Source organism: Homo sapiens, chromosome 4 (assembly GCF_000001405.40).
Source record: "Homo sapiens chromosome 4, GRCh38.p14 Primary Assembly".
NCBI lineage: Eukaryota > Metazoa > Chordata > Mammalia > Primates > Hominidae > Homo > Homo sapiens.
This window is the reverse complement of record NC_000004.12, coordinates 89014260-89032892: the sequence shown is the minus strand read 5'-3', so window position 1 is coordinate 89032892 and position 18633 is coordinate 89014260. Positions and strand designations below refer to the sequence as shown.

Below are 18633 nucleotides of genomic sequence, written 5' to 3'. Positions count from 1 at the left end.
GCTTCAGTGGTTTCCCGGAGAAGGGATCTGATTCAGCTGGTGGAGAGACTGAGCCCTGTCTTTCCTAGAGGCAAGGCAATCATTTTGAGTAGTATTGTTATCAAAGCTGTTCACAGTGAACATGCAGTCATTCCTCAAAACACAGTCTGGATTTGTTATTTGGAAAAAGGACAAGTGGAGACTAAGTGTCCCCAAACCACAATAAATATTTACTACAATCAGTGTATTTTGTTAACTATCCTATTTTCCAACAAAAATAAAAGCATCAACAAGGTCACCAGTACTTAATTATAAAAAAGTATACTGGTATAAAACTCAGGAGATCTGGACTCTAGGCACAGCCCTTTTTGACTGAAACCACAATTTTTTAGGTCCTGATTTTCTTACTACTAAGGCGATAGTGTAAGAATTAGAAGGCCCCTAAGGATTATTCTAACAGTAAAACCTTAAGGTTCTCTGGTTGTCTTTGTTATGTGGGAACCTATATTGTTTTTATACACACACAAACACACACACACCCCCATGAATATGCTCCAGATAGTCCAGTCTTCACACTCAAGTGATGCATGGGAATTTATATGCAAACAAAAGTTTAAACAGTTATAGGTAGACTCAGAATACCTTAATTAGTAACTTTTTTTTTTTTTTGAGACGGAGTCTCGCTCTGTTGCCCAGGCTGGAGTGCAGTGGCGTGATCTCGGCTCACTGCAAGCTCCGCCTCCCAGGTTCACGCCATTCTCCGAGCCTCAGCCTCCTGAGTTGCTGGGACTACAGGTGCCCACCACCATGTCCGGCTAATTTTTTTTAATTTATTTTATTTTTATTTTTTGTATTTTTAGTAGAGATGGGGTTTCACCATTTTGGCCAGGATGGTCTCGATCTCCTGACCTCATGATCCGCCCACCTCGGCCTCCCAAAGTGCTGGGATTACAGGTGTGAGCCACCGTGCCTGGCCCTAATTCAAGGTTTTAAACTCAAATATAGACAGAATTTCTAAGAAAACCTCGTGAATTTCTAGGAATAAATCAAGGAATTGTGATAAGTACATATAAAGTTATTTTATCTTCATTCAAAGGTCATACTTACAGATTTTAGAAAATTAGAGATGTATGGAGAATAGTTATTAGGTCATCAGAATATTCAGCAATGAAATGTGTCTCAACCATGTTTCCCTTTTAAAAAAGTAACCTTTATGGAGATATTTACCACAGGAATGATTAATTAGCTTTCCATTACTTTAAGAAGAAATCAGAATAATAATTCCTAGAAGAAAGAGGAGGAGAAGGAAAAGGATTATGACAATCAGTACTCAATGAGTATGCCAGGCACTGTTCTTACTCCTTTACATAAATGAACTAATTTCTACCTTGTACATTTCTATGACATACAAACTCTTGGTATTCCCATTTTATAGATGAGGAAATTGAGGTACACAGAGGTTATATGACTTGTGCAAGGTTATAGCTAATAAGAGTCAGAATGGGATTCAATCCAGTCTTGTTCCATAGTCTATGCTCTAAACCACTATGCTGTATTCTCTGTGTAAGCAGATAAAATAAGATAAAATTTATATAATTTAACTTCACTGTCAGCTGTTTTTAATGCTACACTGAAATTTTTTTTTAAGTTTTGTTATTACTGGTTATTTTTTAGCTGCTTGATCACCAGATATACCTGGTTGAAATTTCCCATGGATTCAGTTGAAGGAGATTGATACATTTATAAACCTACAAGAAAAAGAAATTATTAACTGTTACAAGTTTGACTTAATTAACAAAATCATAATTTCCTTGGTAACAGAGATCATGGGTTTTGCCCATACTGCTATACTACTCCATAGTAGCTACCCCATGACTTATTTATAATATTAATAGATACTAAATCTGTATTGTACCTTTACATTGGCTGAAATTTCACTGGAGAAATATGGCTTTCAAATATGACCTACAAAAGATGCAGATATGTTAGTAAAAGCTGACCTGATTCTGTAGATTACACAATTTAAAATCAAATTGAGATTACAAGTATCCTACTCAAAGATTGTAGAATTAACTTGTAATTGTCTTATGTCACATATAGCATTTATAAGTTTGTCACTATAATTGTACATAAACTGCACTATAACATTAATATAAATCTATTGTAAATTAAGGAGAGGAACATGGACCTAGAGCAAGATGAAACTGTCTCTTACTAGTTCTCTGACTTTTACCAATAACTTAACTCTGGTTTTTGCTTCCTCAACTCTAGATTGAATGTAATGTTTCTACTCTTAGGATTCTTTGGTGACTAAATGTTGGTGATTTAAGTCATTTAATAGTATTTCCACATTGGTAAGCTGCTACATTCATTCTCAGAAAGTGGAAGTTTCCTCCAATTTTACTGCCTCTGCCCCCAAATAAGACCGTTCGCATTTTGCCATCTCTCTTTTCAGTGTTTGGATTTATTAACATATATAATAACATTTATATAAGACACATCTCTAAAAATTCCTCTTTGCTTGGATGCAGATTTTTATTACAAGGAAGAAACAAACTCTTATGAATTTTTCATTATGTTATTAACTTGAGGTAATTGAATCTAAGTTGCATTTTTATTTATAATATATATAATACAATCTTGTTGAAAAATTTAAAATTGCAACTACCTAAATGTTGTTGTTTCAAAGATTTGAGGGCATTTTGAACCTCAGTAAGAACTGAGTTGATATTATGTTCCAGAAGATTACTGAGATATTTACAGATGTAATCAAATCAGAGAACTATAATGGTCATTATAGATGAAGAATGGTCATTGTAATTTTTTTTTCTGACACTTTAAATTAAAGCTACCTTAAAATGACACCGAGACAAATTTTTGTCTTTAGAAACATCTCATTGTTTCAGGATCTGCCTGGCGTTTCACTGTTCTTATAAATGTTTTATTTTCCTGTTAACCAGGTAGTGCTGGGTCACACCCCTTGGTTACTGTAGTAATATATCTTAGATACGGCAGTGTATTGCTCCCTCTCTTAGCTGCACACTTCATTTGTGGCTTTAGGTTTTTCATTACTTTTCAGTCCTTTTAACCATTATATCTGAGCAACATGTGAGAGATGTTAGAGATTTTGATTTGAGTTGAAGTAAAAATAAGACCACAACTATTCATCTTCAAACACATTTTAATTCAGGTGTTTCTGTTGTAACCATGCAACCTCCTGTGGTAAATATGACTGACTGCTCTTTTTTCTTACGCTCCTTTAAGCAAAGTAAAGCAGCGGTTCGGCTGAAAGAAGACATGAAAAAGATAGTGGCAGTGCCATTAAATGAACAGAAGGATTTTACCTATCAGAAGTTATTTGGAGTCAGTCTCCAAGAACTTGAACGGCAGGGGCTCACCGAGAATGGCATTCCAGCAGTAGTGTGGAATATAGTGGAATATTTGACGCAGCATGGTGAGTTAAGTCATGCTTTAGTCTGTTCATTTTCACAGTCCCTTGCATAAACAAATTATTTGTGTGAATTATTTCATAATGTATGATTAGGCTATCCTCTAAAGCACCTTCATTAGAATATTAAGTTATTGTGTAATATACTTTTCATTTAAAAAAGGGCATTACTGCTTAACATGATCTTGACAGTACTAATTTGATTAACCATAGAGCAATCACTTTAATTATAGAGATTTCTAGTTTGGAATGTTTCCTAGTTTTAAATGCTGAAATACACTGTTGTAATATTAATAGTCAGTTTACTAGATTAATTAAATTCCAACTGATAGTCAATAATTTTTAATGTAATCAAACACGTTTTTGGGTATCTCTTTTACCTGAGGTCAATCATGAACTTATTCAATGCCTTGACTATCCTCATACACTTAGGAGAGACACCAAAAAACTATGATGTAAAGCTTACTATGCGGAGTGGTGGGGGGTGGTTTCACTTATTTTTGGAATGATAAAGCATGTAAAACATTTGGAGAATAATATAGTACATTATACAGTAAAAAGATAAATTATATCTCATTTAGTTATTGAGAGCTGTGAAGCCCACAGCTTTTTGATGATTTCGTTTAAAATAAATCACAAATCTGGATAAGTTGAGAGAATGCTTCCATATTCCCTACATCTTTTTTTTTTTTTTATGTACTTTAAGTTTTAGGGTACATGTGCACATTGTGCAGGTTAGTTACATATGTATACATGTGCCTACATCTTTTTTTAAGAGATAGGGTCTTGCTCTGTTACCCAGGCCAGAGTGCAGTGATATGATCATAGCTCACTGTAATCTCATACTTCAGGGCTCAAGTGATCTTCCTTTCTTAGCCTCGCGAGTAGCTGGGACCACAGGTGTGTTCTGCCACACTGCCTGATTTTTTTATTTTTATTTTTATTTGTAGAGACAGGTTCTCCCAATGTTGCCCCAGCCGGTTCTGAACTCCTGGGCTCAAGAGATTCTCCCACCTCAGCCTCCCAAAGTGTTGGGATTATAGGCATGAGCCATGATGCTCAGCCATGAAGGGATTTTTAAATGTAAAACTTGAGGCTTCAAAAATATTCTGTACAGTAATCCCCCCCGCCCTTATGCATGGTTTGGTTTTCTAAGGTTTCACTCTTACCTGTGACCAATCATGGTCCAAAAATACTAACTGGAGAATTTTAGAAATAAACAATTCATCAGTTTTTGGGGGCTTTTTTTTTTTTTTTTTGAGACGGAGGTTAGCTTTTGTAGCCCAGGCTGTAGTGCAATGGCGTAATCTTGGCTCACTGCAACCTCTACCTCCCGGGTTCAAGCAATTCTCCTGCCTCAGCCTCCCAAGTAGCAGGGATTACAGATGAACACCCAGCTATTTTTTTTTTTTTTTGTATTATTAGTAGAGATGGGATTTCACCATGTTGGCCAGGTTGGTCTTGAACTCCTGACCTCAGGTGATCTGCCTGCCTTGGCCTCCCAAAGTGCTGAGATTCCAGGCCTAAGCCACTGCACCCGGCCACCAATTCATCAGTTTTAAATGGTGTAGCCTTCTCAGTAGCATGATGAGATCTCCAGCCATCCTGCCGCTTGGGACCTGAATCCTCCCCTTGTCCAGTGTATCCATGTGTATATGCCACCTTCCTATTAGTCACTTAGCAGTGGCCTCAATTTGCAGATTGATCATTGTGGTATCACAGTGCTTGTGTTCAGGTGACTCTTATTTTACTTAATAATGGCCCCAAAGCGCAAGAATAATAATGCTGGCAATTCGGATATGCCAAAGAGAAGCCATGAAGTGCTTCTTTTAATTGAAAAGGTGAGTTCTCGACTTAATAAAGGAAGAAAAAAAATTGTATGCTGAGGTTGCTAAAATCTATGGTAAGAACAAATCTCTCCCATTTTTTCTATTGTATTGCTTTTTTTTTTTTAAAGGGACAGAGTCTTGCTCTGTTTTCCAGGATGGAATGCCATGATGTGATCATAACTCATTGCAGCCTCATATTCCATGGTTCAAATAATCTTCCCACCACAGCCTTCTGAGTAGCTGGCATTATACAGGCATGTGGCACTGTAACCTGCTAATTAAAAAAAATTTTTTTAGAGGCAGGTCTCGCCATGTTGTCCAGGCTGGTTTGAACTCCTGGCTTTAAACAATCCTTCCACCTCAGCCTCTTAAGTAGCTTCGATTATAGATGTGAGCCATTGCACCTGGCTCTATTCTGTTTTATTATTAGTTATTGTTGTTAATCTCTTACTATGCGTACTTTTTAAATTAAACTTTGTCATAGATATGTATGTATAGGAGAAAAAAACAGTATATATAGGGTTTGGTACTATCCAAGGTTTCAGGCATCCACTGGCAGTCTTGGAACATATCCCCTGCCGGTAAGGTGGGTCTACTGTAATTTGAGTAATTTGTTTCAGGCCATATCTTTCCAGGATTACAAGTCTCTTCTCCCTTTCTGATAAGAATCATTTATTGGAAATGAGTGAGAAGCACTCATCACATGTTCCTATCAACTTTTGACAGGGACTCTATGGCAGATTATTCATTCTGCTGATGGTTAGATGTTAATTGAAAAAACATCTATCTGCTCTGGTTACTAGGCATGTAGATGACTGATATGGTTAGGCTTTGTGTCCCCACCCAAATCTTATCTTGAATTATAATCCCCCAATCCCCACGTGTCAAGGGAGAGACCAAGTGGAGGTAATTGAATCATGGGGGTGGTTTCCCCAGGCTGTTCTCTGATAGTGAATGAGTTCTCAAGAGATCTGATGGTTTCATAAGGGGCTCTTCCCTGTTCGCTCAGCACTTCTTCTTCCTGCTGCCTTGTGAAGAAGGTGCCTCGCTTTCCCTTTGCCTTCTGCCATGATTGTAAGTTTCCTGAGGCCTCCCCAGCCATGCTGAACTGTGAGTTAGTTAAACCTCTTTCTTTTATAAATTACCCACTCTCAGGCAGTTCTTTATGACAAAATTATATTTTTTTTCTGAAAACTTAAGAGCCAGGTTTCTGTTCTTACTCCGTAGAATTTTTCTCCTTATTAAAGGAAGATAAATTGTAAAAAGGCCAGATTCTTAGAAAACAGCTCTGGATTTATTCAAATGCTTCAAACAGTTAAATACAAACAGTGTTACACATAGCATGACAGGAAGATGGAAGTTTGGCCTACAAAATCTTGAAGCCAGGATTTACAACCAGCTTTAACAGGATTTATTTACATACTTGGTTTTGAGTGAGGCTGTGTATCCCACTGAGTTAGATACAAATGGATTTTTAGATCTTTCATTTCATCTGTTAAGTAGGGTTGTATGGTTCATTTAGATGTCCAACTACGGGTACCTAGAATAGTATTCTGGTTATGGCATAATCAACGTTCTTTCTCTCAACATTCATTGGATAATAGTCTCTTGATCATACTTTTATTGTGTAAAAAATTTTACATTTTTGATTTTTAAAAATTTTAATATTTTTTGAATTGTTAATAAAATTATGTGGTTAAAAATATAGGAGAGTATATGGTGAAAAGTCTATCCCTACAAAGTGTCTCCTGACCTTTGTTTTCTCTCTCTAAAACAGTATTGCTATACCCGTTTCTGGTATCTTCTTAAGATGTTTCGTGTATATATAAGTATGCGTCTGTGTGTTCTTTTTTCCCTTTTATCACAAATATTGCACACTGTTCTGAATCTTTTAAATATCAGTGTATTTTGGAGATTGTTCCATATTGCATAAAGAGCTTTACTCATTTTTAATTATTTTCTTTTCCTCTGCACACCGTTCTACCACATGTATATATCATATCTTTAAGCAGTCCCATACTGATGGGCAAATGGATTGTTTCCAGTCTTCTGTCGTTTACAGACAATGATTCCGGCCAGGCGCGGTGGCTCACGCCTGTAATCCCAGCACTTTGGGAGGCCGAGGCGGGTGGATCATGAGGTCAGGAGATCGAGACCATCCTGGCTAACAAGGTGAAACCCCGTCTCTACTAAAAATACAAAAAATTAGCCGGGCGCGGTGGCGGGCGCCTGTAGTCCCAGCTACTCGGGAGGCTGAGGCAGGAGAATGGCGTGAACCCGGGAAGCGGAGCTTGCAGTGAGCCGAGATTGCGCCACTGCAGTCCGCAGTCCGGCCTGGGCGACAGAGCGAGACTCCGTCTCAAAAAAAAAAAAAAAAAAAAAAAAAAAAAACAATGATTCCATGGTTAACCTTTAGCATATGGCATTTGAAGCACATACAAGTGTGTGCATAGACTACCTTCCTGGAAGTGAACTCCTGGATGGTCAGAGGATATGTGCATGTGTAATGAACTCTATCAGAGCTGAAACAATTTACACTCACACCATCAACATATGAAAATTTTGACAAAATTTAAATTAGGGATTGATTTTCTTCTGCCCCTCCTTAGCATACTGTTAGTTATACTTTAACAGGGTGTATTCGGGTAATGCAAACTAAACATTTTATTAAGTTAAATCAGTCGCTCTTAATGAGGGATGTGAAATAGAATCACTAGTGGAATCTTCATAATACACATGCATTGCCCACACCTCATACTACTGAATCAGAATCTTGACTGGGCAAGCTCGGGTAGGCCTGGCACCTGTATTTTGAAAGGCTATGTAGTTAATTACTACGTAGACAAACACAAGCCCCTTCTTGTATTTGAAACTACCATGTTAATAAACCAAAGAAATTGTGTAAGTTTGAAGGGTAGTATAAAGTTTGAGGGCATAATACTTCAATTTGTTTTATTTAATTACTTTGCAGTTTTTTCAGATCAACAAACATTTACTGTACACCTGTGATACACAGTAAGCACTATGTCAGGCATGGAAATGGGACTATAGGGGTGACCATTCATGTAATTCAATCATAGGTTGCTATTTTGGTTATGCTTTATTATTGTTTCACGTAAATGCAATTTAACAATTTGGCATGAAGGTAAACTATTATTGTAAAGGAATTTTTAAGACAGAAAGGCCTATATCAAGCCCTTTAAGCAGATTTTGGATATTTTCATTTAAAGGTATATACATTATAACTTATAAAGCATACAGTCTTTAAACTCTTTTTCTCGCTGACAATGTTAACGGCTTCTTTCTCTTAGTTTGGCATGAAGATACTATAGGTTATGCCGTTTTAACCTACAGTGTAGAGTCTCAAGTCACCACCAGGTGTCAGAATGTGCTTACTTATTGTCATACTACTTCCCTGGCCAAAGTGTGCTGTTAGGCAATTTGTGACTTCTGGCATATTCTGTTTCTAATGGCATATTCTGTTTTTAATATTCATACTATTTTGAAAGAAATATTTCAGTTGTACAGAAAAGTATCTTTCAGTGATGTAGACATTAGCTTATATAATTTTTTCTTCATTTCTAAACCACTATTAAGTTGCTGTTTTGTGATAATTAGCACATAGCTTAAAATCAAATATAATAGGAGCTCTGAAATGTATGAGAGTAACTCTGCTTCATGAAGTCATCCAAATATCCCCCTTTTCTGAATATTTTTGTTACAGTCATAACTTTCTACAATTTTAGAGTAGGAAAATTTAAAGGTTATATGGTCTGGTAAGCCTCATGTGGGTACTGGCTATATTCTAGCCTCATAAGAGGCTTTAAAAAACTGTATGGATTCTTCTTCTCAGAATGTGATATATTCATGCCCAGGATTATAAACTTTCCCTAGTTGAACATCACGAATTATCATAAGAGTTGTGGGTGGGAGATAATCCTGAGGGAAAAGAGTTGTTCAGATAAATGGGACAGAGACAGGAAAATATTATTGAGGAGCATTAAATTCAGTCACTTCTATTTGTACCTTATATGACTGCTAGTTTGGTCCAGTGGAATCAGGAGGCTTGAGGACCACAAGACAGTTCTTGGAGCTGGGTATTTTTTTCTGAAATTGCTGGAAGTATATTTATTTGGGGGAAGGTTCAAAAAAACCTTGTTGGAAAAGAAAGACTAAGGTCAAAGCTAAAAAGAAAAAAAAAAAACAACATCATGTGAAATCAGATCTAAGGGGCATTTGCTAGGCCAAAAACAGAAGGCAAGATTAGGTTAAGCAGCTGGGTAAATATAGGAACAGGAAACAAAACTCTAAATTTTCAGGATTTCATATTTGACCAGGGACGGAATGCCTTTGTGTTGGATGCTAGCTGCTTGATTGTTGGATAAGTTTCTGAAGCTAAAGATAAACTTTTGTATAGTAGAGGAGACAGACCTTGAAAGCTTTAAATGATTAAGCTGGCATCTCCCAATAGAACCTGATATTCCACAGAACTTAAGGGAAAGGCGTATCGTATTCGTTACCCATTTGCTGCATAACAAATTACCCCAAAACATAATAGATTAAAACAATAGTATTTATCATTATCTCATAGTTTCTGTGGGTCAGGAATCCAGATACATCTTAGTTGTGTCCTCTGTCTTAGAGTTACAAGGCCGTGATCATGGTGTCAGCCAAGGCTTCAGTCATATCAGGACTCAACAGGGGAAAAATTCCCTCCCAAGCTCATTCATGTGGTTGTTGGCAGGATTCTGTTACTTGTGAGCTGTTGACCTGAGGGTTTTCAGTTATTCACTGGTCGTTGGCCAGAGACCACCTTTAGTTGTTTGCCCGTGGCCAGTAGCTAATAAAGTACATCAGACAGACAGAGAGAGGGGGAGAGAGAGAGAAAGAGAGAGAAGCATGATGGATTGTCAGTCTTTTATAACTTAATCTTAAAATATGACATGACATCACATTTGCTGTATTCTGTTGTTAGAAGCAAGTCACTAGGTCCGGCCCACACTCAAGTAGAGGGGATTATAATGGGTGTGGTACGAGAAGTGGGGATCATGGGAACTATTTTAGAAGCTGTCTGCCACACAGACCAACTGGTATCTCTTCCATTTAGGTGGTGCCCTGGTCCTAGTCATTGTTAAATACTTTTAATATCATCCCTAGTGTCACAATTTTTTTCAGAATTGGAGCTAAAATTCATATCAACTTTTGATATTGATTTTCTTCACAGCCAAATAATATGTATATGTGGAAGAACACAAACATCTCACCAGACTTCAAAGTCCATGAGGGTAATGATAGTGTTGAATTTTTTTTCTCAGGATTGATTTTTTTTTATTACCTAAGATAATGTCAGGCACTTATTACATGTTTGTTGAATTAAAGAACTTAAAAGTATTTTATTAGATTATAAAATAAAATAAAATTAGCTTCCTCTTTTGCTTTAAAAAGAGCAATACAATTACCAGTTAAGGGAAAGAAGCAAAGGCTGATATAAATTATCACCTCCCCTCTAAAAAATCCTGATAGGCTTCAATGTCATTATGTCATTGCTAACATTCACCATTAGACTCTCAAGAATGTCACGTTAAATCCTGGCCTGCTCTTTCTTAGAAAGATTGTTTCTTACACTTTCAAAGTCCTCTACTGCCTGACACATTCACTTACATGGTGTGTAGCACACTAAGCTGGAAATCATTATCTTCTGCCGTAAACCAGCTACTCTCCTATCCCTACCCCCTAATCTTATCTTTTACAGTGTTTTTTTTTTCCTGTATTCCTACTTTTCAAAACTTTAAGGTTACCTTTCAACCCTTTCCCTCTCCCTTTTGAACCAAGTTACCAAATCATCTTTATTCTTTGTTTTTCACTTCTTTTCCACCATAATCTCAGTTTACTACCTTAAAATAGAAGATAGTTTCCATAAGGCAGGTCCTCTCCATACTCTACTTCTTAGCTAGCTAAATCTTCCTAAAACCCTGATTATATTTTGTCTTTTTCCTCACTTATTGCTCCAGTGATAAGGCCTTCACTCTTTAACTTGTCACAGACCCTTTCCTGTTTCTCCATTTTATTATCCCATCATTCTTTGACCTAGGCACCCCACATTGTCCTCTGCCTACCTTTCTTTATGTTTTCCTATGTCTACTTCTCAATTCATATTTTTGTTTATCTTTGTCAGGGGTAGATCAAGGTTTTGTGAGTCCAGATGCCTAATCTTCTGAGACTTCTTTAAGAAAAAGAATATGATACTAAGAATACAGGATTAGGGACAGAGCTTGTAAAGGGCCCAAGAAAATGAGGGGCCCTGAAGCTCAAGCTTCATTGGTTTCACAGCGTAACAGCTCCAGCCCCTCTGTGTTGCTTTAGCCAAAGGTTAAGTTTACCTCCTCCAGGAGGCCTTCTCTGATAACCTCAGCTGACACTGATATCCCCCATCAACTGACTGAAGGCAAGGATCTTGTCTTATACCACTTTGTAGTTTCCTAGAGTCTTACATTTTGAATTTAGTGATAACTGAAAAACTACCCCTTATTTCTTAAACTATTACACAGGTAATTACATAGAGTTTAAAAGTTTCTTAAATACATGTCATTTAAAAAGTAGTTGTTCATGAAGTGTTAAGCTGCTGTTAGAGCCCTGAGTAAGTTTTTGTTATGTGCTCTAGAAGATTATATAAATGAAATTTCTTTGTGTACTCTGTTTTGCTCTATGTTTATATATGCCATAGCCTTATTTTTAGAAGCTGGGTTTTATACCAATCATATATGATCTTTTAAGCTGACATGCAGTGGATATGAACATTTATTATTCTAAGGAAAGTTTTACAAAATGTGAAAATTACACAATGATTGATAATTACAGTGTTGAGAGAATCATATGCTGAGATTTCTTTCTTTGTGTTGTTATCATTCTTTACGTTTCATGTCTGTGAGAAACCTATTTATTTTCTGTGCCTACTTTGCTCTTCCAGGACTTACCCAAGAAGGTCTTTTTAGGGTGAATGGTAACGTGAAGGTGGTGGAACAACTTCGACTGAAGTTCGAGAGTGGAGTGCCCGTGGAGCTCGGGAAGGACGGTGATGTCTGCTCAGCAGCCAGTCTGTTGAAGCTGTTTCTGAGGGAGCTGCCTGACAGTCTGATCACCTCAGCGTTGCAGCCTCGATTCATTCAACTCTTTCAGGGTTAGTACAATAAATCCTTTTAGGAGTTAAAACAACTTTACTAGGCTGGGCACGGTGGCCCACACCTATAATCCCAACACTTTGGGAGGCTGAGGTAGAAAGATTGCTTGAAGCCAGGAGTTGAAGACCACCGTGGGCAACCAAGCAAGACCCCCATCTCTACAAAAAAAAAAAAAAAAGGGCAGAAAAAAAAAAACCAGTTTTATTTTTAGTAAACATACTAAATATTTAAAATTTAAAAAGTTTTTAAATATTTGTGGTCTTTCCATAACCACCACCTTGTTATTTTACTCCAGGCCCTCATCCCCTATGTAAAATCATACTAGACTGATTATGAAATACCGTTATTAAATGAAATTTCTGATACCATTAACATGTGACTACTTCAGTAACGTAATATTGAAAATCCCTGATGCTTTTGGGCCAAAGACATGTTTTTCTGACTAATGACTGTCATAAAAGGAGTGAGATCAAGAATAATTTAGAAAACATTAGAGAACAATAAAGGAAATATTCATTAAATTGTGGTTGCTTAATGACCTTTGAGACTGAAAGCTCACTGGTGTACTTGCTTTTTCTCCTAAGCAAGATTGAGTCCTAAAATAATTTTGTTCATTTCGTGAGGTAAAAATTGATTTTTGATTGTAGTATTAAGTGATTTCATATGAAAGAACTTGCTTTTTTTTTTTTTTTTTTTTGAGATGTAGTTTCACTCTTGTCACCCAGGCTGGAGTGCAGTGGCACAATCTTGGCTCACTGCAACTTCTGCCTCCTGGGTTCAAGCAATTCTTCTACCTCAGCCTCCTGAGTAGCTGGGATTACAGGCACCCGCCACCATGCCCGGCTAACTTTTGTATTTTTAGTAGAGTTGGGGTTTCACCATGTTGGCCAGGCTGGTCTCAAACTCCTGACCTCAGGTGATTCACCCATCTTGGCTTCCCCAAGAGCTGGGATTACAGGCATGAACCACTGCACCTGGCCAGGAACTCGCTTTTTAAGTGTAATAATTATAGGCATAGTCATTATTGAGTTCTCCCTCCTAAGTGCTGTAAGAAAAATGGTTTACCCTTAAAACCATTTATTTTATTATTTTTCCCAAATTAGAGAAGAAAGAAGAAAATATATTTCCAAAAGTATTCGTTGCCAGATTAAGGGTGCTACCTAAAGCCACATTCCTTTACAGCAGTGGTGTACCTATTCACATGCAGTATGCTAAAGAACAGGATAAGTGAGAAGGCCAGATAGGACAAGTAAGAAAGTACCAGAAATATTTTACCCCATGAAAGACCATTTTGAAATATTAGCTAAAAGTTGTGTGGTTGTATCAGAAGAGGACACTAACTACCTCCACTTGCCATCCCCTAGGGAAGGAGACCTGTCTGTAGCTCCCCCAGGCCCTCACATCAGCAATGCCTCCTGCCCTGGCCTCTTCTCACTTCTCTGCAGCCCCTGGCCTCCCGTGGTGACCTCCAGGCAATCCTTTTGGAAGATTACTCATGTCTTATTTCTTTCTTCAGAGTACCTGGGCAGTCCTCAGGAAACACATCTTTGCCACATTCTTGAAATGGAGGTCAGTCACAAGGCAGAGCCCTGCCTTCTTGTGCTGCCACCCAGGGCACCCATAGCCAGACTGTCTGTGTTAGACTCTTTGACGAGTTTTAGACTCTTCAAACTACCCAAGTGATAATCTGATGACCCTCACTTGGCTTGGGAAAGTTAGAGGAAGCATTATATTTCTCTAGCAACTCTCTCCCTTCAAAGAAATCCTCACTCTCTAATTTTTAACTTCAAATTTTAACACTGAATTTCCTGCTTAAATATCTTTGTGGCCTGTTGATGGCCCAAGGCCGCCAGACCTGGGTTTGGTCTCACCTTAATAAGTTCTATATAGCTCATCTAGCATTTTTGCTTAGAATGGGTGGGCCCATCACAACCTTTATTTTTATCTTTGAGGCCTCAACCCCAAATTGTATTAATTTGCTACATCTGCCCTAACAAAATACCACAGACTGGATGTTACAAGCCTAAACGAGAGAAATTTATTTCTCACAGTCCTGGAGGCTGCAAGTCCAAGATCAAGGTGCCAGCAGTGTTGGTTTCTCCTGAGGCCTCTCTCTTTGGTGTGCAGATGGCTGCCTTCTCACTGTGTCCGCACGTGGCCTTTTCTCTGTGTGCACTCTCCTGATGTCCCTTCCTCTTCTTATAAGGACACTAGTCCTATTGGATTAGGGACCCCATTATAATCTAATTTAACCTTAATTACCTCTTTAAAGGCCCCAAATACAATCACATTCTGAGGTATGGAGGTTAGAGCTTCAACATATGAATTTTGGAGGGAACACAATTCAGTCCTTAACAGTGATGCAACAGGAAAAATCCCAGAAGTTTTACCTATTTTCAAACCTATTATTTTTTGTAATCTTAGCTACTTCATTTTTGAAAAAAATGATTTTATTTTTTGAAAAGGCATAAAATCATTGAATTATTAAATATTATATTTTATTGAAAATAGTGATAAAATATGAAAGCAAATTTGCAGAACAGTTTGTTCTGGTTGTCAACGGTGCTTTTAAGCTTTGTATGTCAGTGAGTGACATGTTCGAGGCTTGCTAATTGGAAACTTTATGAACTTTTTCACGATATGTATGAAGATAACCATTCCTTCATAAAGGTGACAATTCCTCCTATTTGGAAACATTAAATCCTTTTTACAAGGAATATTTTATCCATAGGGAAGGGAAGTTTTGAGATAAAGTTTGGAAAATTATTGTAAAATAATGTCTACAGGAGTTGACGAATATTTTATGCTTAATGCAAAATATTTGGTAGTCAGATATCTTTAGTATTCTTAATATTATTCTATAGTATTCTGTATTATTAAGTATTCTTAGTACTCAAAAATCCTATAAATTTCAAAGGCTTTTATCACATTTCCAGAATAGTTTTCATTTGATATGAGTATGTACTGTTTTATTATTTTTATTACTATTTATAGAATTATTTTGTAATCATTTAGGTCTTTGTGAGTCGCCATATTCTTTATGACGTGATTCCTCAGTCATCAGAAAGTTGATAGGTGTCATAAAAGCAAGCAGTATCATTCTAAAAGCAAGACTCATTGTATAGTCAGCCTTTAGGTTATGTGAGGTTATGCACAGGTAACAAATTTTGAATGGGAAGAGAGGTTAAATTTTTGCTATGTTGGTATTATTCTTCCATTCCCTTAAAATCTCTGGTTAGATTTGAGTCATTCAGTAAAAAAAAATTACAGTTAAGCATCAATGACATAAATACTTTCTGAAAAATACATTATTAGGTGATTTCATTGTTGTGTGAACATCATACAGTATACTTACACAAGCCTAGATTGTATAGCCTACTACACACGTAGGCTATATGGCATAGCCTGTTGCTTTTAGGCAACAAACCTATACAGCATGTTACTGTACTGAATACTGTAGGCAGTTGTAATGCAGTAGAAAACACTTGTGTATCTCAACATATCTAAAAATTGAAAAGGTACAGTAGGCCTGGCCTGTGGCTTATGCCTGTAACCCAGCACTTTTGGGAGCTGAGGTGGGCAGATTGCTGGAGCCCAGGAGTTTGAGATCAGCCTGGGTGACATGGCAAAACCGCATCTCTACAGAAAATTAAGAAATTAGCAGGGCGTGGAGGCATGCACCTGTAGTCCCAGCTACTCAGGAGGCTGAGGAGGGAGGATCACTTGAGCCTAGAAAGTCAAGGCTGCAGTGAGCCATAATCATACCACTGCACTCCAGCCTGAGTGACAGAGTGAAACCCTGTCTCAAAAGAAATAACAATAAAAAAGAAAACAGAAAAGGTACGTAAAAATATAGTATAAAAGATTGTTTAAATGGTACACCTGTATAGGGCATTTACCATGAATGGAGCTTGCAGGACTAGAAGTTGCTCTGGGTGAGTCAGTGAGTGAGTGGTGAGTGAATATGAAGGCCTAGGAGATTACTGCACCACTGTAGGCTTTATAAATCTTGTACACTTAAGCTAAACTAAATTTATTTAAAAATTTGTTTTGTCTTCAGTAATAGACCTTAGCTTACTGTAACTTTTTTACTTTATAACTTTTTAACTTTTAAAAACATTTTGATTCTTTTAAAATAACACTTAGCTTAAAATACAAATACCTTGCATAGCTCTACAAATTGTTTTCATCATATAATTTTAATATTTTTCTATTTTTAAAATTTTCTTTTTTCTTTTTTTACTTTGTAAAATTGTGTTTTTTTTTTTTTAAACTAAGGCATAAGCACAGATGTGAGTCTAGGCCTACAGAGTCAGAATCATCAATATTACTACCTTCCACCTCCATATCTTGTTCCAATGGAAAGTCTTCAGGAACAGTAACACTTGTGGAACTGCCATCTCCTACAATAGCAATGCCTTCTTATGGAATACTTCCCGTAGTACCTGCCTGAGTCTGTGTTACAGTTAACATACACATGTGTATATGTATGTATGTATATGTGTATGAGTCTGTGTTATAATTAACATACACGTATATATGTATGTATATGTATATGTGTATCTAAGTCTGTTATAGTTAACATACACATATATATGTATATGTATATCTGAGTCTGTGTTGCAGTTAACATACACGTATATATGTATATGTGTATCTGAGTCTGTGTTACAGTTAACTTTATATATATATAAACTTCATACATATAAATAGAATGAGTACACTCTAAAATGCACTTTATACATATATGTATAAATAGAATGGGTACACTCTAAAATAATAAAATGTATAGTATAGTAAGTTTTCACTTAATGTTGTTGATAATTTCTTGGAAACTGCAACTTTAAGTAAAATGATGTATCAGGAAATAAATTTTATCACAGGCAGATTAATACAAACAAAAGTTAAGTATCGGGGTAACCCGCCCCCGATAATTCAACATGAGTCCTTTTCTATTTTTCCTAAGTGTCAGCCAGTCTGAGAAATAAAGGGAAAGAGTACAAAGAGAGAAATTTTAAAGCTGGGTGTCCGGGGGAGACATCACATGTCAGCAGGTTCCGTGATGCCCCCGCAAGCCGCAAAACCAGCAAATTTTTATTAGTGATTTTCAAAAGGGGGAGGGAGTGTACAAATAGGGTGTGGGTCACAGAGATCACGTGCTTCACCAGGTAATAAAATATTACAAGGCAAATGGAGGCAGGGTAAGATCACAGGACCGGGGCGAAATTAAAATTGCTAATGAAGTTTCAGGCACACATTGTCGTTGGTAACATCTTATCAGGAGACAGGGTTTGAGAGCAGACAACCAGTCTGACCAAAATTTCCTCGTCCTAATAGGCCTGGGAGCGCTACAGGAGACCAGGGCTTATTTCATCCCTTATCTTCAACCGTAAAAGACAGATATTCCCAGAGCGGCCATTTTAGAGACCACCCCCTAGGAACGCATTCTCTTTCTCAGGGCTGTTCCTTGCTGAGAAAAAGAATTCAGCGATATTTCTCCTATTGCTTTCGAAAGAAGACAAATATGGCTCTGTTCTGCCCAGCTCTCAGGCAGCCAGACTTAATGGTTATCTCCCTTGTTCCCTGAACATTGCTGTTATCCTGTTCTTTTTTCAATGTGCCCAGATTTCATATTGTTTAAACAATTTGTGCGGTTAACGCAGTCATCGCAGGGTCCTGAGGCGACATACATCCTCAGCTTATGAAGATGACAGGATTAAGAGATTAAAGTAAGACAGGCATAGGAAATCACAAGAATATTGACTGGGGAAGTGATAAATGTACATGAAATCTTCACAATTTATGTTCAGAGATTGCAGTAAAGACAGGTGTAAGAAATTATAAAAGTATTAATTTGGAGAACTAATAAATGTCCATGAAATCTTCACAATTTATATTCTTCTGCCATGGCTTCAGCTGGTCCCTCCATTCGGGATCCCTGACTTCCCACAATAGTTAAGTTCTGATGGCATGATTCTGGTTACAAAAACATCACCAAACTTCTAATTGAAGACCCAGAACACTTCTGTTATTAAACATTGAAATAAATGTGAGGTACACTTACATTTAAGAAATACTTTTTAAAAAATAAGAATTATTTCCCCAGTTTTTGGTAAATAGTGAGTGATGGCTGTCATAGTGGTAATGGGTTAAATCAAGGAATAGGTATTTGTGAAGTAAAAGTTGTCAGCAGCACCTC

General features: G+C 37.1%; 1 protein-coding gene across 12 annotated transcripts in view; it reads left to right on the top strand.

Annotated features, from left to right (window-relative positions):
- FAM13A (family with sequence similarity 13 member A) overlaps positions 1-18633 on the top strand; it is a 331226-nt gene that overhangs the window by 24293 nt on the left and 288300 nt on the right. For 9 of the 12 annotated variants that reach the window (XM_047449481.1, XM_047449479.1, XM_011531516.2 and 6 more), the window contains 2 exons: positions 3244-3433; positions 12224-12433. In XM_047449481.1, coding sequence (XP_047305437.1) covers positions 3244-3433; positions 12224-12433 — 400 coding nt within the window. Of the gene's footprint in view, positions 1-3243; positions 3434-10474; positions 10542-12223; positions 12434-13914; positions 14004-18633 lie in introns of those variants that run through there. The other 3 variants (XM_017007625.1, XM_011531518.2, XM_017007626.1) reach the window with 3 other exon arrangements.